At 42.9% G+C, this 22,758-nt stretch overlaps 2 pseudogenes; one reads left to right on the plus strand and one right to left on the minus strand.

The window, feature by feature from the left end:
* Positions 17,097 to 17,578, minus strand: PPIAP84 (peptidylprolyl isomerase A pseudogene 84; annotated as a pseudogene).
* TUBBP1 (tubulin beta pseudogene 1) lies at positions 19,088 to 20,752 on the plus strand (annotated as a pseudogene).

Below are 22,758 nucleotides of genomic sequence, written 5' to 3' on the forward strand. Positions count from 1 at the left end.
TAGCTGGGACCACAGGCACACACTACCATGCCTGGACTCATTCTATCTTATTTTATTTTTTTCCTGAGATGAGGTTTCCCTATGTTGCCCAGGCTGGTCTTAAATTCTTGGGCTCAAGCAATCCTCCTGCCTTGGCCTCTCAAAGTGCTGGGATTATAGGCATGAGCCACTATGCCTGGCCAAAAAATTGCCTTTGTTATTCAAACTTGCATTGATGTACTGTGGGGAAAGGGCTTTCTGCTGCAGAGCAGACAGCAGCCACCAGGAGCCCAGCAGTATGTTCCTACTTCCCCAACCACAGAAACCCAGATGAATACGATTTTGATAGAAATGGAAGGAAAGACATTAGAGGTGTGGGGACAACATAAGTAAAGAAGCAAGATGGCCAGGCACAGTGGCTCACGCCTGTAATCCCAACATTTTGGGAGGCCGAGGCGGGCAGATGACCTGAGGTCGGGAGTTCGAGACCAGCCTGACCAACATGGTGAAACCCTGTCTCTACTAAAAATACAAAATTAGCCGGGCATGGTGGCGCATGTCTGTAATCCCAGCTACTTGGGAGACTGAGGCAGGAGAATCACTTGAACCTGGGAGGTGGAGGTTGCAGTGAGCTGAGATCGCACCACTGCACTCTGGCCTATGCAACGGAAGAGTGAAACTCTGTCAAAAAAAAAAAAAAAAAAAAAAAGAAGCAAGATGACAGAAAAGCGTACAAGGTATGACTGTGGAAAACTGAATGAACCAATCCAACTAGAGCTGAAGATCTGTGTGAGAAAGTTAAAGTAGGGCTGGAAAGATGGTTGGATTCAGGTTATGGAAGGTGCAGAGGGCCATGCTACAGTCTATGGATTTTATCTTATAAGCAAAGGAAAGTTACTGTAAAGTTTTCAAGCCAGCAGCATGAGCTAAACAACTTGTGGTGTGTAGAGCAGATTAAGCACAGAAGCCAGTCAGGAGATTATTACAAGTTCCTGAACTAGTGTGACAATGATAATGAAGGAATAAATGCAGACATGTGAAGGAAGAACTGACAGGTCTTTCTTGGAAGGTCAGATGGAATGAGTGAGGGACAAGAAGAATCCAAGATGGCTCCAGGGTTTGTGGTCTCGATGCCTGGAGAATGGGAGTGGCATATGAATGTCAGGAGACATTAGACTTCATTAAAATTAAAAACTTTAAAATTAAATTAAAAATTTTTGTGCATCAAAGGACATTATCAAGAGAATGAAAAGATGATCCACGGAACAGGAAAATATTTGCAAAGCATATATCTGATAAGGGTTTAATATCCAGAGTATACATAAAAATCTCTTATAACTCAACAACAGGAAGACACACAACCCAATTTGAAAATAAGGAAAGCGGCCAGGCGCGGTGGCTCACGCCTGTAATCCCAGCACTTTGGGAGGCTGAGACGGGTGGGTCACCTGAGGTCAGGAGTTAACAGTCTGGCCAACATGTTAAAACCCTGTCTTTACAAAAAAATCAAAAATTAGCTGGGCATGGTGGCCTGCACCTGCAACCCTAGCTACTCAGAAGACTAAGACAGGAGAATCACTTGAATCCAGGAGGCAGAGGTTGCAGTCAGCTGAGATCGTGCCTCTGCACTCCAGTCTGCGTGACAGAGCAAGACTCCATCTCAAAATATAAAATAAAATAAAATTAAAAATAAATAAAAATGAGGAAAGCACTTGGCTAGACATTTCTCCAAAGCAGATCTACAGATTGCCAAAAAGCACATGAAAACATGTTCAACATCAACAGACATTAGGAAAATGCAAACTGAAACCACAATGAGATACTACTTCACATCTAGTAGTGTGGCTACAATTTTTTTTTTTTTTTTGAGACGGAGTCTCGCTGTGTCGCCCGGACTGCAGTACAGTGGCGTGATCTCGGCTCACTGCACCCTCCCCCTCCCAGGTTCAAGCAATTCTCCTGCCTCAGCCTCCTGAGTAGCTGGGATTACAGGCACGCGCCACCATGTATGGCTAATTTTTGTATTTTTGGTAGAGATGGGGTTTCACCACGTTGGTCAGGCTGGTCTCGAACTCCTGACCTCATGATCCTCCTGCTTCAGCCTCCCAAAGTGCTAGGATTACAGGCGTGAGCCACAAGGCCCAGCCATAATTTTTTTTTTTTAATTGAAAATAACCAAGCATTGGAGATCATTTGGAGAATTTGGAGCCCTCATGGTATTGCTGATGGGAATGTAAAATAATATATCCACTGTGAAACACAGCCTGGCAGTTCCTCCAAAAGTAGAACATAGAATTACCATATATACAGTAAGTCCACTCTGTTAATCAGCTCTGGCAGCTATAACAAAATGCCACAAACTAGGTGGCATAATCGACAAACATTTATTTTTTTGTTTGTTTATTCTTTCTTGAGACAGGGTCTCTGTCATTCAGGTTGGAGTGCAGTGACACCATCTCAGCTCACTGCAACATCCACCTCTCAGGTTCAAGCAATTCTCCTGCCTCAGCTATAGGCGCCTGCCTATAGTAACTGGGACTATATTAGCCACCACACCTGGCTAATTTTTTTTGTATATTTAGTAGATATGGGGTTTCACCAGGTTGGCCAGGCTGGTCTTCAACTCCTGACCTCAAGTGATCCACCCACCTCAGGCTCCCAAAGCGCTGGGATTACAGACATAAGCCACCACGCTCGGCCACAGACATTTATTTCTCACAGTTCCGGAGCCTGAAAGTCTAATCCCATTCATAAAGCCTCCACTGTCATGAGCACATCTAATTACCTAATTATCCTGATTACCTGCCAAAGACCCCACCTCCTTGCAAAATCCATACGCTGAAATCCCACCCCATCACATTATGGGGTGGGATACAAGCATATGGGTTTTGAGAGGACACAAGCATTCAATTCTGTAGCACATTCTTTGGTATATACTCCAAGTAATTGAAAGCAGGGACTCAAACAGATTCTTGTACACCAATGTTTACAGCAGCGTTTTTCACAATAGGCAAAGGCAGAAGCAACCCAGGTGTCTATCAACAGTTGAATGGATTTTTAAAATGTATTATATACATACAATAGAATATTAGTCAGCCTCAAAAAGGAATGAAATCCTGATACATGCTACAACATGGATGAACCGTGAAGACATTAATGAACTAAGTCAGACATTAGCCAGGTGTGGTGGCACACACCTGTAGTCCCAGCTACTTGGGAGGCTGAGGCAGGAGGATCCCTTGAGCCCAGAAGTTTGTGGCTGCAGTGAGCTACGATTGTGGCACTGCACTCAAGCCTGGGCAACAAAACAAGACAGAAGAAGCAAAGAGAGAAAGAGAGAGAGAGAGAGAGAGAGAGACAAAGAAATAGGAAGGAAGGAAAGAAAGAAAAGAAAGAAAAAGAACCAGACACCAGACATAAGAAGACAAATCTTGCATGATTCACTTACATGAGATATCTAGAATAAATAAATTCATAGAAATGGAAAGTCAAACAGAGGCTCCTAAGGGGTGAGGTAAGTGCAAATAAGGAGTTATTGATCAATGGGTGCAGAATTTTATTTAGGGTGATGAAAAAGTTTTAGAGATAGAGAGTTGTGATGGTTGCACAACATGACGCTACATTTTAAAAAGGTTAAAATTGCAAATACTGGGGCCAGGTGCAGTGGCTCATGCCTGTAACCCCAGCACTTTGGGAGGACGAGGCGAGTGGATCACCTGAGGTCAGCAATTCTCCAAGACCAGCCTGGCCAACACGGTGAAACCCTGTCACTACTAAAAATACAAAAATTAGCCGGGCATGGTGGTGCATGCCTGTAACCTCAGCTACTCAGGAGGCCGAGGCACGAGAATCGCTTGAACCCAGGAGGCAGAGGTTACAGTGAGCCAAGATCGCACCACTGCACTCCAGCCTGGGCGACAGAGCGAGATTCCTTCCAAAAAATAATTTTTAAAGAATTGCAAATAGGCAGGGCGCGGTGGCTCAAGCCTGTATTCCCAGCACTTTGGGAGGCCGAGGCAGGCGGATCACGAGGTCAGGAGATCGAGACCATCCTGGCTAACACGGTGAAACCCTGTCTCTACTAAAAATACAAACAAAATTAGCTGGGCGTGGTGGCAGGCGCCTGTAGTCTCAGCTACTCGGGAGGCTGAGGCAGGAGCATGGCATGAACCGGGGAGGCAGAGCTTGCAGTGAGCCGAGATCGCACCACTGTACTCCAGCCTGGGCAACAGAGCCAGACTCTGTCTCAAAAAAAAAAAAAAAAAAAGAATTGCAAATATTTTACCACAAGAAAATCAAGAAGATTCCCTTCACTATTAAGTAAACATAATAATAATCATAGCTATCATTTATCAAGTCCTTTCTACATGCCAGGAGTTTTACCAGGATTATTTTATTTATCCTCATAAGAACCCTATAAGGGACATGTATTATTAGCCTTACGTTATATATAAGGAAACTAAGCCTTACAGAAGTTAAATAATTTTCCCAGGGCCACAAAGCTGGTAAATAATCAGTTCAAAACTAAAATGATTTCAAGTTACTTAGTGGGAAGTTAAAGGAATTATTATTTATTTATTTTTGGTTGAAGTTAAAGTTTTGTATCTGAAAATGATATTTTTTTAAGAAAATAGTAACAGGACTAACAATTATGTGGTTTTTAAACAACACTGAAATACCAGTTTTTGCTTGCGGAATTGTAAAATTTTAAAAATACATGACAAGCAATGTTTTTCAGAATTAATGAATCAGAAACCTTTGAACAACAATTTGGCAATTTAACTTGATACAATCCTTTAAGAAAGATATTTGGCAATATATACCAGATTTTTTTTTTTTTTTTTTGAGACAGAGTTTCGCTCTTGTTGCCCAGGCTGGAGTGCAATGGCGCGATCTCAGCTCACCGCAACCTCCCCCTCCCGGGTTCAAGTGATTCTCCCGCCTCAGCCTCCTGAGTAGCTGAGATTACAGGAATGTGCCACCATGCCTGGCTAATTTTTTTTATTTTTAGTAGAGATGAGGTTTCTCCATGTTGGTCAGGCTGGTCTCAAACCCCTGACCTCAGGTGATCTGCCCGCCTCGGCCTCCCAAAGTGCTGGGATTATAGGCATGAGCCACCGTGCCTACCCATCCATTTCTTAAACAACCTAAAGTGAGTGTGCATTACTTTATAGTTGTAAAATTAAAAAAAAAACTTTTTTAAAAGAAAGATATGGTTTAAAAAGACCAAATTTGGCTGGGTGTGGTGACTCACATCTATAATCCTACCACTTTGTGGGTCTGAGTGGGAGGATTGCTTGAGGCCAAGAGTTCAAGACCAACCTGGTCAACATAGCAAGATCCCCGTTTCTATTTAAAAAATAAATAAATAATAAAAATACCAAATCCATATTCCTCTTTTGAATTACTGAGTAAAATAAAATATTTTCTTTTTCCACTTTCAAAGATGGTATATTCTTTTTATTATGTCTTGAGGGCATTGGTGTAATTAAAAAACTGATAAATGACCAAGAATTCATGAGTCATCAAATATAGCTCCCTGATGTATCAGGAGAAAATCTCAAGCCTTGAGATTAATGGTAAAATACCGTTTAAAAAGTCACATAAATGTACCCAAACTGAATATTCGGTGCCTCATTTATTGTTTTGTAAAGACACGCTCAGTATATCAATGCTGTGAAGCTGAAACAAGTTTCAGTAACTGACAGCAAAAGAGGCTTCACTAAGTTAGTCAGAGACCCAGCCAGATAAAATTTTGAAATGATTAAAATATCATAAAGGTCTGAGTGCAGTAGCTGATGTCTGTAATCCGAGCACTTTGGAAAGTCAGGGTGGGAGGATAGCTTGAGGCCAGAAACTGGAGATCAGCCTGGGCAACAGTTCAAGACTCTGTCTCTAAAAAAATTTTTTTAGTTAGGTGGGCGTGGTGGCACGAGCCTATAGTTCCAGCTACTTGGGAGACTGAGGTAGGAAGATCACTCTAGCCCAGGTGTTTGAGGCTGCAGTGAGCTATGTTGGTGCCATGTACTCCAGCCTCGGCGACAGAGTGAGGTCCTATCTCAAATAAAATAATAAAATAAAGTAAAAATCAGAAAAAGCTGAAGACAAAATTGGTGCAGGAAGCCCATGACTGATTTAAGCAACTGGATCACTGTGTCTTCAGATTGATGCCTGTGCCTCAGGTGACCCTGGGACAAAGCTGGCTGAGAGATGGGGAGGAGCCGATGACACAATCAAGCTGAGACTCAGGTATAATTAGGTGAAACTTTATACCAAATGGACATCACAAATCTGTGATTTGATCTGCAAGGGATTTTATTTTTACCCGGACTCTCTGTCCTATGTCAAAACTTGCCGATTATTTTCATGAATCCCATGACAATTTTACATGGGTCCAAATGATTCCTCTTACTTTTTAATAACCTTATTTAGCCATTAGATTTTGATGGATTGATTTTAATTTTTAGTAATGAGTATATTCTGTATTTTAGACCAGGGAACATGAAGCCATTATTGCAGTTAATGAGTTTCATCATTATTTACAATACAATAAACAATGTGTTGATTTAAACTGGGTGTACATTAACATAAATGCGCAGAACATTTTTTTAAATTCCTCTCCATGCTATTTATGGCACACAGCAAAGTTTAATGGTAGATGCGAAGAAAGAAAAAAAAAAGTGAGAAATGAGACCCTTGGGTAGCCAGAAGGATCAAGATAGGACCAACCTGTTTTCATTAGGGGGCAGCTTTGTGGGAAGGGCTCGGGTGAGCACCCACAGATTGCACCGAGGTGCTATACTCTGAGGCTGTGATAAACAGACTTCCCAGCCCCCACAGATCTTTCCTGTAGATTTATCGCAGTGCCTGGGGTTCTGCCATTAAGAATTTTCCCTATAGTCTTGAAGGCTAATCATGTTTACAGTTCTGCTTTGAAGATTGCAAAGCACCTCTAGGAACACTTCTTAGCTAATCCCTTGGGGCAGGGGCTCTAACCGGTTGATCAAGCTTGACTGGTGCATCTTTTCGGGAAGAGGCAGTAGCAGTGTTAAGAGCTCAGGCGTTAGATATTAAATCCCTGCCTCTGCTGAGAGTGACCTGGGGCAAGTTATCTTCCCTAAGCCTCAGTTTCTTTATCTATAAAGTAAGGATAGTAATATTTACCTTGAAGAGCAGTCGTAAAGGAAACAAAAAAATACATGGAAAACGCTTAACCACAACAGATGGTCCCCATATAAGGACAACCAGGTGGGTTGAAAGGCAGCTGTTAGCCCCTCACCGAGCATGTGCGCCTCCCTCAGCTCAGATGCATCCCAGCAGCTGGGCTGGGGAGAGTATTTCCAACTGCTGGGCACCCTACTTCTCTGCCAACTGTGAGCTGCAGGGAAGGGATGCCTAGGTGGACCAGGTCAGCACCTCCTCTAACATCCGACTTCACCCCCATGAAATCAACACCCTCACAATCTTGGTATCCTGGGAGACTGGAGAGGGGTCCTAAATGGGAGGGTTCCCAGAAGACTTTACCAGCTAGAGAATTCTGCCTAGGGAAGAGGTGTGTTTGTTTGTTCTCTGTTGCCCCAGCTGGAGTGCAGTGGCACTATCTCAGTTCTCTGCAACCTCCGCCTCCAGGGTTCAAGCGATTCTCATGCCTCAGCCTCCCCCGGCTAATTTTTTGTGTTTTTAATACAGACGGGATTTCGCCATGTTGGCCAGGCTGGTCTCGAATTCCTGAGCTCAAGTAATCCTCCCTCCTTGTCCTCTCAAAGTGCTGGGATTACAGGTGTGAGCCACCACACCTGGCCTGTTTGTTTTTTAGAGACAATCTCTGTTGCCCAGACTGGAGTGCAGTGATGCAATTGTAGCTCACTGCAGACTTGAACTCCTGGGCTCAAGCAATTCTCCTGCCTCACCCTCCCAAGTAGCTGGGACTACAGATGTGCACCACTATACCCTTAATTTCTTTGTAGAAATGAGGTCTCACTATGTTGCCCAGGCTGGTGTCAAGCAATTTTCCTGCCTAGGCCTCCCAAAGCGCTGGGGTTACAGCTGGGTGGGCCACTGCACCCAGCCTTAAGGGATAGGTTTTAATGTTCATTTTCTAGCTCCAGGAAGGGTAGGTGCCCATGAGTCATCAGGGGTCTTGGCCACTTTCATCTTTGCACACTGGGTCTGATGTTGCCAGGGACAGATGACAGTGCAGCAAATTGGAGAGGAGGGAAAGCACGTGGCTACAAGACTCTACCGAGGAAGGTCTGTTTCTTCTAGAGAGCATGAAGACTGATGCCGTGACCCAGGACTATGACGTTTACTGGTACATGTGTCTACCTTGGCCACTTTTGCCTCTTTTCTTTTCTCTAATACATTATCACTACCTCATCTTCAGGAGAGTTTTTAACCTAGAGGTCCAAAACCCGGCAATACATCATCTGCGCAGATTCTTTGTTTTCTAAAATAAGAGATTCTCAGACACCAACTCCTTAGAGATTCTGATTTAGGAAGTATGAGAGGCATAGGGGCCAAGCATATAAATTCTGGAGACAGATTGCCTTGGTTCCAATCCCAGCTCCCTGGCTTACTATGTGTGCATGTGAGCAAGTCACTTATGATCTCTGCACATCAGTTTCTTCATCTATAAGATTAGGATAATAACAGTAGCCTACCTGACAGAGGGGCTAACAGGGTGAAATGAATTATTGTTATTAAGCAAGGCACAGGGCCTAGAATTTGGTATGTATTTTTTAAAAGGCTGTTGATCATGAGACACAGACCAGCTGAGGAATCACATTGATACAAAGCTATTTCTAATTAGCATCCAACCATTGGTCTTTAGTGTAATTTCAGAAGTCGAAACAGGAGATTCAGGGACATCAAAGAATAATTTTTGGCAAGTTCCTGACGCTGACAAGAAAGATGAAAATTAGGAGGCATTACTTTTTGATCACTCCTTATATGGATACATTTATGAAACACTGGACAATTTTCAAGGTAAACCATTGAACATCAGGAAGCACAAAGTCAAGAGAGAAGAAAAACCTAAAATTACAGGATTTCACATGACAAATTGAAAGTAAATTAATCATTTTTCCACTGACCTTAATCACAGGGAAAAATAATTAATCATTGTCAGAAATGTTTAAAACTGCTTGAGTTCTTCCCAAAGGTTCCAGGGAATGAGATATATTCATCATAAGATGAAGAATTCCATCAAATTTGATCCAGGTGCATTTAGAGCAGCACACCTGTATACGACTACTAGACCAGCTTCTCTAATGATCAGAAATTGAATGTAGACAACACACAAAGAGGGAATTTTAGTACTTTTAGCTGCTTAGTATGTCATCCATACATCCAAACTTCAGAGGTGCTTTGTCAGGCATTTTTCACAGCTTCTCCCTTCCCGTTTTCCTTTTTATTTTTTCTTTTTATCTTTTTTTTTGAGATGGGGTCTTACTCTGTTACCCAGGCTGGAGTACAGTGGTACAATCATAGCTCACTGCAGCCTCCAACTCCTGGGCTCAAGCAATCCTCCTGTCTCAACCTCCTGAGTAGCTAGAGCTACAGGCATGCACTACCATGTGTGGCTAAGCTTTTTATTTTTATTTTTTGTAGAGATGGTGTCTTGCTATGTTACCCAGGCTGGTCTCCAACTCCTGGCCTCAAGCGATCCTCCCTCCTCACCCTCCCAGTGTCCTGAGATTACAGGTATGAGCCACTGCACTGGCCACCTTTCCTGTTTTGTTTTGTTTTATTTTTTTGAGATGGAGTCTCACTCTGTCACCCAGGCTGGAGTGCAGTAGCACATTCTCGGCTCACTGCAACCTCCGCCTCCCAGGTTCAAGTGATTCTCATGCCTCAGCCTCCTAAGTAGCTGGGATTATAAGCATCTGCCACCAAACCTGACTAATTTTTTTTTTCTGTATTTTTAGTAGAGACAGGGTTTCACCATGTTGGCCAGGCTGGTCTCAAACTCCTGGCCTCAAGTGATCCACCTGCCTCGACCTCCCAAAGTGCTGGATTACAAGTATGAGTCACCGCGCCTTGCCAGATTTTTCTTAATCACCTTCTCCAAATTCCTTTCTCTTCCTTTTGAATACTGTCATTTACTCTTCTGTGCTATTGCAAAACCATCTGTGCTACTATTAAGCATGGCATCTAGGTATTCACACTTTTTTTTTTTGGAGATGGAGTCTCACTCTGTCACCCAGGCTGAAGTGCAGTGGTGCGATCTTGGCTGACTGCAAGCTCCGCCTAGCACCTTCAAGCAACTCTCCTGCCTCAGCCTCCCAAGTAGCTGGGACTACAGGCACATGCCACCACGCCCAGCTAATTTGTGTATTTCTTGTAGAGATGGGGTGTCACCATGTTGGCCAGGCTGGTCTCGAACTCCTGACCTCAGGTGATCCACCCGCCTCAGCCTCCCAAGGTGCTGGGATTACAGGCATGAGCCACCAGACCTGGCCAGGGTTACACATTTTTAATTACAATTTTTATCCAGATAATTGTAGATGTACATGCAGTAGTAAGAAATCATAGAAAGATCCTTACATTTTGCCCAGTTTCCCCCAAGGGGAACGTTTTAAAAAACTATAGAACATTATCACAACCAGGTTATTGACAATGCGACAATCCACTAATCTTATTCAGATTTCCTCAGTTTACTGATATTCATTTATGGACATGTATGTGACTGCTTATTAATATCTATTCAATTTTATCACCCGTGTAGGTCCAAGTGCCCACCAACAGGGTCAAGATACTGAATATTTCTAGCACCACAAGGATGCCCCTTGGGTTACCCTTTTATAACCACATCCACCTCTTCCTGTTCCATGCACCTGTGGCCCTAAATCCTTTACCCTGGCATCCATTTGTCCTCCATTTCTAAAATTTTGTCATTTAGAAAATGTTTTATAAATTGAATCACATATTATGCAACCTTTTGGGACTGGCTTTTTTGACTCAGTATAATTCCCTGGAAATTCATCAAAGCTGTCACACATATCAAGAGTTCATTCCTTTTTATTGCTAAGTAGCAGTACTCCATTGTAGAGCTCTTTCACAGTTTGACTATTCACCTGTTGAAGGTCATATGAGTGGATTTCTTTCTTTATTTTTTTTATTTTTTTTTTTTGAGATGGAGTCTCACTCTGTCACCCAGGCTGGAGTGCAGTGGCGCGATCTCAGCTCACTGCAAGCTCCGCCTCCCAGGTTCACGCCATTCTCCTGCCTCAGCCTCCCGAGTAGCTGGGACTACAGGCGCCCGCTACCACACCCGGCTAATTTTTGTATTTTTAGTAGAGACAGGGTTTCACCATGTTAGTCAGGATGGTCTCGATCTCCTGACCTCGTGATCTGCCTGGCTCAGCCTCCTGAAGTGCAGGGATTACAGGCGTGAGCCACCGCGCCCAGCCCATATGCTTATTTTTCATCTGTATATCTTATTTAGTGAGGTGTCTGTTAAGGTCACTGGCCCATTTTTAATCAGGTTGTCTTTTTCTTATTGTTGAGTTTAAAGCATTCTTTGTATATTTTAGATAACAGTCTTTTATTAGACTTGTCTTTTGCAAATATTTTCTCCTAGCCTGTGGCTTTTCTCCTTATTCTCTTGACAGTGTCTTTCACAGAACAGAAAGTTTTAACTTCAATGAAGTCCAACTTATCAATTCTGTCTTTCATGGATCATGCTGTTGATGTTGTATCTAAAAAATAATCACAAAACTCGAGGTCATCTAGATTTCCTTCTATGTTATCTTCTAGGATTTTTATAGTTTTGTGTTTTACATTATGTTATCCATGTTGAGTTAATTTTTGTGACGAGTATAAGATTGTGTCTAGATTATTACTATTATTATTATTTGCATGTGGATGTCCAGTTGTTCCAGCACCATTTGTTGAAAAGGCTCTTTTGCTGAATTATATTGCCTTTGTTCCTTTGTCAAAGTCAGTTGACTATATTTATGTGGATCTATTTCTGGGCTCTCTATTCCGTTCCATTTATCTATCTTTGTGTATTCTTTTGTCAAACCACACTGTCTTGACTACTGTACCTTTATAGCAAACCTGGAACTCCTCCAATTTTGTTCTCTATTAATATTGTGAGCTGCTTTGGGTCTTTTGCTTCTCCATATAAACTTTAGAATCAGTTTGTCAATATCCACCAAGTAAGTTGCTAAAATTTTGAGTCAGATTATGTTGAATCTACAGATCAAGTTGTGAAGATCTGACATGTTGTAAATATTGAGTCTTCCTATCCATGAACATGGAATATCTCTCCATTTATTTACTTCTTTGATTGTTTTCATCAGAATTTGGTAGTTTTCCTCACTTAGATTGTATATGTATTCTGTTAGATTTATACCTAAATATTTTGTTTTTGAGAGTGTGCTATGATTTGAATATGGTTTGTCTCCCAAAAAACTCATGTTGCACTTGGTCTCTAATGTAGCGTTTTGGAAGATAGTGCCTTTAAAGCATGATTGGGTTGTTAAGATTGATCAATCTCTTTCTGAAAAGATTGGGTTAGTTCTCTTGGGATGGATTAGTTCCCAGGAGAGTGGATTGTTAGAAAGTGAGGTTGCCTCTTCTGTTTGGACTCTTTGCATGCACCCACTTCCCCTTCCACTTTTGAAACATGCCTCCTAATATGTTTCATGCTTCCACATGCATGCTTCCCCCATGCTATGAAGCAGTAGGAGGCCCTCACCAGATGCAGCCACCTGTCCTGGACTTCTTAGCCTCCAGAACCTCTTTTCTTTATATATTTCCCAGTCTTCGGTATTTTGTTATGGCAACAGAAAATGGACTAAGATAAGGTGCTGATGTAAATAGTATTGTATTCTTAATTTCAAATTTCCCTTGTTAATTGCCAGCATATAGGAAGTAATTGACTTTTATTTATTTATTTATTTTTTGAGACAGTCTCACTCGGTTGCCTAGGCTGGTGTTCAGTGGCACAGTCTTGGCCTGCTGCAACCTCTGCCTCCTGGGTTCAAGCAATTCTCCTGCCTCAGCCTCCCAAGTAGCTGGGATTACAGGTGCACATCACCAAACCTGGCTAACTTTTGTATTTTTAGTAGAGACAGGATTTCATCATGTTGTCCAGGCTGGTCTCAAACTCCTGGCCTCAAGCAATCCTCCTAGCTCAGCCTCCCAAAGTGCTGGGATTACAGGCGTGCACCATCATGCTGCAGCTGAACACCCAGCTGAAGCAATTGACTTTTATATGTTAACATTGTATCCTGTAATCTTGCTATAACAGCTTATTAGCTCCTGGAAAGGTTTTCTGGAAAGTGGTGGCATGATCACAGCTCACTGTAACCTCTGCCTCCCAGTTTCAAGCGATTCTCCTGCCTCAGCCTCCCATGTAGCTGGGACTACAGGCTTGCATCACCATGCCCAGATAATTTTTTGCATTTTTAGTAGACTCAGGGTTTCACCGTGTTGGCCAGGCAGAACGCCTGGCCTCAAGTGATCCGCCCGCCTCAGCTTCCCAAAGTGCTGGGATTATAGGCATGAGCCACCATGCCTAGCCCTGGTCAATACTTTTGAAATTTCTACATAAACTACCAGATCATCTGTGAACAGATTTTTTTATTTCTTTCCAATATGTATACCCTTTCCGTCCTTTTTCTTACCTTGCTGCATTAGCTAGGACTTCCAGTACAATATTGAAAATCAGTGGTGAGGCCAAGGTAAGTGGCTCATCCCTGTAATCCCAGCACTGTGGGAGGCCAAGGCAGGCAGATCACTTCAACCCAGGAGTTCGAGACCAGCCTGGGCAACATGACAAAACCCTGTTTCTGCAAAAAATACAAAAGTTAGCTGGGCATAGTGGCATGCACCTGTAGTCCCAGCTGCTCAGGAGGCTGAGGTGGGAGGATTACTTGAGCCCAGTAGATGAGGTTGCAGTGAACCAAGATCACACCATTGCACTCCATCCTGGGCAACAGCGTGAGACCCTGTCAAAAAAAAAAAAAGAAAGAAAGGTGTCATCCATTTTAAATTAATTTTCATTTAAGGTGTAATGTTTAGGTCATGGTTTGTGTTTTTGCCTATGCAGTACCATTTGTGGAAAAGGTTATCCTTCTTGTCAAAAATCAATTAAGCATATTTCAGTGGATCTTTTTCTGGAATCTTTACTCTGTTCCACTGATCTGTGTATCTGTCACTCTGTCAATACCATACTGTCTTAATTGTGGTAGCCATGTAGTAAACCTTAATATTGGATAGAGTGATTCCTCTCACTTTATTATTTATCAAGACTATTTTAGCTATTCCAGAGCTCATTCCTTTCCACTTAAGTTTCTGAATAAGTTTGTCCATGTATACAGAAATGCTTTCTGGGGTTATAATAGAAATTGTATTAAATCTGTAGATTAATTCAGAAGAATATCTTTATTATGTTGAATCTTTCGATCTATAACCATAGTAGGTGTCTCCATTAATTTAGGTTTCCTTTGATTTCTTTCATCAGGATTTTGTAATTTTCCGCACACATATTAAATAAAATATACTTAGAAATATATCTAGCCCAGGTGCAGTGGCTCATGCATGTAATCCCAGCACTTTGGGAGGCCGAGGTGGGTGGATCACTTGAGCCTAGGGGGTTCAAGACCAGGCTGGGCAACATGGTAAAACCCCACCTCTACATAAACCATAGAAAAATTAGCCAGGCATGGTGACCCACACCTGTAGTCCCAGCTCTAAGGTGAGAAGACTGCCTGAGCTCACGAGGTCAAGCCTGCAGTGAGCTATGATCATGCAACTGCACTCCAGTCTGGGCAATAGAGCGAGACCCTGTCTCAAAAAAAAAAAAAAAAAAGAAAGAAAGAAATCTATCTAAATATTTCATTTTGTCTGTGTGTCATATGGAAATGCAAAAGTTTTTTTGTGTTTATCTTGTATTCTAAATCCTCACTAAACTCATTTATTAGTTCCAAGAGATTCTTTGTAGATTTCTTGGGATTTTCTACACAGGCAATCATATTATCTGCAAACAGAGATAGTTTTGTTTCCTCCTTTCTAACCTGTATACTTTTATTTTTTTCTTGTCTCTTGCAATAACTTCCACGACCATGTTGAAGTGATGAGAGCAGACTTCCTTGCCTTTTTGTCGTGATCTTAGTGGAAAAACATTGATTCTTTCATCATTAAGTATGATGCTAGCTCTAGATTTTTGTTTTTGTAGATGCTATTTATCAAGTTTAGATATTTCCCTTCTATTCCTAACTTACTGAGATTTTTTTTATGAATCAGTGTTGGATTTTACCAAACTTTTTTGTTTTTGAGATGAAATCTCACTCTGTTACCCAGGCTGGAGTGCAGTAGCACACTCTCAGCTCACTGCAACCTCCACCTCCTGGGCTCAGTTGATCTTCCCACCTCAGCCTCCCAAATAGTTGGGACTACAGGCACACGCCACCATGCCTGGCAAATTTTTTTGTACTTTTTGTAGAGATGAGGTTTCACCATGTTGCCCAAGCTGATCTCAAACTCCTGGGCTCATACGATCTGCCTGCCTTGGCCTCTGAAAGTGCTGGGATTACAGGAGTGAGCCACTGTGCCCGGCCAAACATTTTTTCTGTGTCAAATTGATAGAGTTGTATGATTTTTCTTCTTCAGCTTGTTAAATGGTGAATTACACTGACTGATTTTCAAATATTGAACCAGCCTTATATACCTGGAAGAAGTTCCACGTGGCTATGGTACATAATTCTTTTTATACATTGTTGGATGCAGTTTGCTAATATCTAGTTTAGATTTTCACATTTAAATTCATGAGAAATATTGGTGTATTCTTTTTTTGTACTGTCTTTGGTTTTAGTGTCAGGGTAACACTGGTTCCATAAAATGAGTTGGGAAGTGTTTGCTCCTCTTCTGTTTCCTGGAAGAGATTGTGTAAAATGTGTGCTGATTACTCTTTAAGTGTTTGGTGGAATTCTCCAATGAAACTATCTAAGCCCAATTTTATTTATTTATTTTTCTGGTGGGGATCGAGAGGGAGTAAATTTTTTTTTTTTCTTTTTGAGATGGAATCTCGCTCTGTTACCCAGGCTGGAGTGCAGTGGTACAATCACGGCTCACTGCAACCTCTGCCTCCCGGGCTCAAGCGATTCTCATACCTCCGCCTCCCAAGTAGCTGGTACTGCAGGTGTGCATCACTACGCCTGCCTAATTTTTTGTATTTTTGGTAGAGATGGGGTTTCGCCATGTTGCCCAGGCTGGTCTTGAACTCGTAAGCTCAGGTGATCCACCTGCCTCAGCCTCCCAAAGAGAGAGAGTAAATTTTTTAGAACAGTTTAGATTTACAGAAAAATTGAAAATATGGCATAGTTTTCATATACTGCATATCCAGTTTCCCCTATTATTAACATCTTCGATTAGCATGATACATTTGTTAAAATTAATGAATAATATTGATACATTATTAACTAAAATCTATACTTTCTTCAGATTTCCTTAATTTTTACCTAATGTCCTTTTCTTATTCCAGAATTCCATCCAGAATACCACATTACATTTAATTGCCTTGTCTCCTTAGGCTCCTCTTGGCTGTGACAATTTCTGAAACTCTCCTTGTTTTTTATTTTTGTTTGTTTGTTTTATTTAGGTTTCTTTTTTTAAGACAGAGTCTCACTCTGTTGCCCAGGCTGCAATGCAGTGGCGTGATCTCAGCTTACTGGAATCTCTGGCTGCCTCCCAAGTTCAAATGATTCTCCTGCCTCAGCCTCCTGAGTAGCTGGGATTACAAGCGCCCACCACCACGCCCAGCTAATTTTTATATTTTTAGAAGAGACAAGGTTTCACCATGTTGGCCAGGCTCGTCTCAAACTCCTGACTTCTAGTGATCTGCCGACCTCAGCCTCCCAAAGTGCTGGGATTACAGGCATGAGCCACCATGCCCAGCCCTTTTACTTAGTTTTTATTTTATAATCTTAACTCTGCAATTCAGCTAGATGTAAAAGGAAATAAGGAAAATATAGAACCCAAAGAGCTGCCGTGAGAGCACAAAGATTATAGAAGGCTGCAAACAAATGCAGTAGTGCGGTGCTCTCCTGAGCTACAGAAGGAAAGGCCTGGTAGTTAAGATAAAACACAAGTCAAATTTATTAGAATGATCCACAGTCAGCAATGGTGATCTTCTTGCTGGTCTTGCCATTCCTGTACCCGAAGCACTCCATGGCTTCCATGATATTCATGCCTTCTTTCACCTTGCCAAAGACCACATGCTTGCCATCCAACCAGTCAATCTTGCAGTGCAGATGAAAAACTGGGAACTGCTTGTGTTGGGTCCAGCATTTGCCATGGACAAGATGCCAGAACCCGTATGCTTCAGAATGAAGTTCTCACCTTCAAATTTCTCCTTGTAGATAGACTTGCCACCAGTGCTATTGTGGCTTGTGAAGTTCATACATACCCTGACACAGAACCCCTGGAATAATTCTGTAAAAGCAGAAACCCTGATAACCAAATTCTTTCTCTTCAGTGCTCAGAGCATGGATATTTTCTGCTGTCTTTGGAACTTCGCAAACAACTCAAAGGAGATGCAGCTCAAAGTCTCGCCGTCAATGGCGATGTCAAAGACCATGGTGGGGTTGACTGTGACTTGTGGCATAGGGCTCTGGGTGGCCCCAGCATCTGCAAAGCATTCTTGTTTTTGACGAGCTTAACAATTTTAAGAAGCACTGATAAGGTATTTTTCAGAATTTCTCTCCATTAGAATTTTTATGATGTTTTTCTTGAGACTGACGTTATAAGTTTCAGGGAGAAAGACCAGAGACAGAAAGCGCCATTTTCATCACGTCATATCAAAGATATATACTGTCAGCCAGGCGCAGTGACTCACACCTGTAATCCCAGCACTTTGGGAGGCCGAGGCAGGTAGATCACCTGAGGTCAGGAGTTGAAGACCAGCCTGGCTAACATGGTGAGACCCCATCTGTACTAAAAATACAAAAATCAGCCAGGCGTGGTCGTGGGTGCCTGTAATCCCAGCTACTTGGGAGGCTGAGGCAGGAGAATCACTAGAACCTGGGAGGCAGAGGTTGTAGTGAGCCAAGATCGCGCCACTGCACTCCAGCCTGGGCAACACAGCAAGACTCTGTGTCAAAACAAAAAAACAAACAAACAAACAAACAAAAACACACAGAGAGATAACATGATTCTGTGGTGCAAACTAACTTTTGAAAATTCTATACTCCTGGCTGGGCACGGTGGCTCACACCTGTAATCCCAGCACTTTGGGAGGCCAACATGGGCAGATTACCTGAGGTCAGGAGTTTGAGACCAGCCTGGCCAACATGGTGAAACCCTGTCTCTACTAAAAATACAAAAATTATCCGGGCGTGGTGGCACATGCCTGTAATCCCAGCTACTCAGGAGGCTGAGGCAGGAGAATTGCTTGAGCCTGGGAGGCAGAGGTTACAGTGAGCCGAAATCGTGCCACTGCACTCCAACCTGGCTGACAGAGTGAGACTCTGTCTCAAAAAAAAAGAAAAAAAAAATTCTATATTCCTCTTTCGGAGATCCACAACTCATAATTGTATATTCAAGGCTCTGAGAAGTCCTGTTATAAGGAAACACTCTTATTATTGCTTAATCTGGAGTTCCTCAGACCACAAAACTTTTTTTGGTTGCCACAAAATATCTATTAACATATTTTAGAACTAGTGTTCTGAAGAACATAGTTGGGAAATGTGGATTCACTCATTTTCTAGATAAAGGAACTTGCATTAAGTGAGTTAAGTGATTTGTGCCAAGTTACAGGACTACTTAGTAACACAACTGGGTCTAAAACCCAGGTTTCCTAAATTCCTGATGGTCCAGTATTTTTGCATCATACCATGTCGTCACCTATGAGGCAGGTCCTAAGGCTGTTGAAAAACAATAGGAAATGGCTTTTAAAAGTAATTTTATTGACTGGCTGTAGTGGCTCATCCCTGTAATCCCAGCACTTTGGGAGGCCAAGGTGGGAGGATTGCTTGAGCTCAGGAGTTTGAGATCAGCCTGGGTAACATGGTGAAGCCTCGTCTCTACAAAAAATACAAATATTAGCCAGGCGTGGTAGCATATGCCTGTAGTCCCGGCTACTCAAGAAGCTGAGGTGTCGAGAAACTTCCTGCCGCCGCGTTCGCACCTCGCTGCTCCAGCATCTAGGGCATATTCCAACCTTCCAGCCTGCGACCTGCAGAGAAAAAAAAATTACTTATTTTCTTGCCCCGTACATACCTTGAAGTGAGCAAAAAAATTAAATTTTAACCATGAGGGAAATCGTGCACATCCAGGCTGGTCAGCGTGGCAACCAGATCGGTGCCAAGTTCTGGGAGGTGATCAGTGATGAACATGGCATCGACCCCACTGGCACCTACCACGGGGACAGCGACCTGCAGCTGGACCGCATCTCCGTGTACTACAGTGAAGCCACTGATGGCAAATATGTTCCTCGTGCCATACTGGTGGATCTAGAACCTGGGACCATGGACTCTGTTCGCTCAGGTCCTTTTGGCCAGATCTTTAGACCAGACAACTTTGTATTTGGTCAGTCTGGGGCAGGTAACAACTGGGCCAAAGGCCACTACACAGAGGGCGCCGAGCTGGTTGATTCTGTCCTGGATGTGGTACGGAAGGAGGCAGAGAGCTGTGACTGCCTGCAGGGCTTCCAGCTCACCCACTCACTGGGTGGGGGCACAGGCTCTGGAATGGGCACTCTCCTTATCAGCAAGATCCGAGAAGAATACCCTGATCGCATCATGAATACCTTCAGTGTGGTGCCTTCACCCAAAGTGTCTGACACCGTGATCGAGTCCTACAATGCTACCCTCTCCGTCCATCAGTTGGTAGAGAACACTGATGAGACCTATTGCATTGACAACGAGGCCCTCTATGATATCTGCTTCCGCACTCTGAGGGTGACCACACCAACCTATGGGGATCTGAACCACCTCCTCTAAGACACCATGAGTGGTGTCACCACCTGCCTCCGCTTCCCTGGCCAGCTCAATGCTGACCTCTGCAAGTTGGCAGTTAACATGGTCCCCTTCCCACGTCTCCATTTCTTTATGCCTGGCTTTGCCCCTCTCACCAGCCATGGAAGCCAGCAGTATCGAGCTCTCACAGTGCCGGAACTCACCCAGCAGGTCTTCGATGCCAAGAGCATGATGGCTGCCTGTGACCCCCGCCACGGCCGATACCTCACCGTGGCTGCTGACTTCCGTGGTCGGATGTCCATGAAGGAGGTCGATGAGCAGATGTTTAACGTGCAGAACAAGAACAGCAGCTACTTTGTGGAATGGATCCCCAACAATATCAAGACAGCTGTCTGTGACATCCCACCTCGTGGCCTCAAGATGGCAGTCACCTTCATCGGCAGTAGCACGGCCATCCAGGAGCTCTTCAAGCACATCTCGGAGCAGTTCACTGCCATGTTCCGCCGGAAGGCCTTCCTCCACTGGTACACAGGCGAGGGCATGGACGAGATGGAGTTCACCGAGGCTGACAGCAACATGAACGACCTCGTCTCTGAGTATCAGCAGTACCAGGATGCCACCGCAGAAGAGGAGGAGGATTTCGGTGAGGAGGCCAAAGAGGAGGCCTAAGGCAGAGCCCCCATCACCTCAGGCTTCTCAGTTCCCTTAGCCGTCTTACTCAACTGCCCGTTTCCTCTCCCTCAGAATTTGTGTTTGCTGCCTCTATCTTGTTTTTTGTTTTTTCTTCTGGGGAGGGTCTAGAACAGTGCCTGGCACATAGTAGGCACTCAATAAATACTTGTTTGTTGGAAAAAAAAAAAAAAAAAGGCTGAGGTGTCAGGATCCCTTGAGCCTGGGAGGTCAAGGCTGCAGTAAGCCATGATCATGCCACTGCACTCCAACCTGGGTGACAGAGTGAGATCCTGTCTCAAAAACAACAAAAAACCCCACAATTTTCTTATAAAATATATATATATATATGTTTATGACATGTTGTGTGTTTGGCATAAAACATTATTAAGATAAGCACCTATGTATCATCACCCAGCTTAAGAAGGAGAATATTATCAGAAACTTGGAAGCACCTTGTAGGCCCCTCCCCAATTACACCACCCTGTGTTTATCATTGTGTTTATCATGCCTTTGCTTTTCTTTATAGTTTAACTACATATACAGATCCCTAAAATGCATTATTCTATTTTACACATTTTGAACCTTTAATTAATGGTATTACTATAGTATTCTTCTGCAACCTGCAAAACTTTTGCTCATTAATTTTGTGAGATTCATGCGTGTTACTAAGTATAGCTGTAACTCATTCATTGCTACACAGACTATCATTAGGGGAATACATCACAATTTTTTTTTCTTTTTTTCTGAGACACAGTCTCGCTCTGTCACCAGGCTGGAGTGCAGTGGTGCGATCTGGCTCACTGCAACCTCCACCTCCTGGGTTCAAGCGATTCTCCTGCTTCAGCCTCCCGAGTAGCTGGGACTACAGGCGCGCGCCACCACACCCAACTAATTTTCGTATTTTTAGTAGAGACAGGGTTTCACCACGTTGGCCAGGTTGGTCTCTATCTCTTGACATCGTGATCTGCCCCCTTCAGCCTCTCAAAGTGCTGGGATCACAGGCATGAGCCACTGCACCTGGCCTCATCACAATTTATTTATTCATTCTTCTGTCAATTGATCTTTGAGTTGTTTCTTTCTGTTTTAGTCCATTGCTGTAACAAAATACCTGAGACTGAGTAATTTATAAAGAACAGAATTTTTTTTCTCACAGTCTGGAGGCTGTGAACTCTAGATCAAGGTGCGAGGAGGATCCTTGTCTGGTGAGAGCTGCCCTCTGCTTCCAAGATGGTACCTTGATGCTACATTTTCTGAAAGGAGGAACACTGGGTCCTCACATGGTTGAAGGAAGGAGAGAAGGGTGAAAATGGCTGAACTCCCACCATCAATTCCTTTCATAATGGCATCAATCTACTCATGATGGCAGAGCCCACATGACCCACATATCTCTCAAAAGACCTCACCTCCCAGCACTGTTGCATTGGGTATTAAGTTTCCAACACATGAATTTGTGAGGACATATTCAGACTATAGCACCTTCTCTTTTTCTTTTGGTTTATTATAAACCATGTCTGAAGTGTTTTACATGCACAGACATCTATAAGCACACCTGCTAGTGTTTGTGTAGGTTATAACCTCAGAGAAATTGCTGAGTTATAGCACCCATCTTCAGTTTTATTAGAGAATATGAAATTGTCATTCAATTTACAATTGACATTGTCACCAGCAGTTTATAAGTCTTTCCATTGTTCTATACTTAGCAACATTATCTTGCCAGACATTCTTTAAAAACTTTATATTATGGAAATTTTCACACATGTACAAGAATTATATTATAAACTATCCCCTGGCTTCAACATTTACCAACTCATGGCCAATCTACCATGGGCTATTTTGGAATATTCAAAAGCTAATCTCAGATATCTGAGATTACTTCATCTGCAAACATTTCATAATGCATCCCTAAAAAATAAGGACTCTGCCTTTTAAAATTTGAGATAAAACATACAGTACAGTACACAAAACTTTTTTTTTTTTTTTGATACAGGGTCTCTCTCTGTCATCCAGGCTGGAGTACAGTGGCACTGTCTCAGCTCACTGCAACCTCCACCTCCCAGGTTCAAGTGATTCTCCTGCCTCAGCTTCCCAAGTGCTGGGATTACAGGCATGTACCACCACGCCTGGCTAATTTTTGAATTTTTAGTAGAGACAGGGTTTCACCATGTTGGCCAGGCTGGTCTTG

This window comes from Homo sapiens, chromosome 8 (genome assembly GCF_000001405.40).
Source record: "Homo sapiens chromosome 8, GRCh38.p14 Primary Assembly".
Classification (NCBI taxonomy): domain Eukaryota; kingdom Metazoa; phylum Chordata; class Mammalia; order Primates; family Hominidae; genus Homo; species Homo sapiens.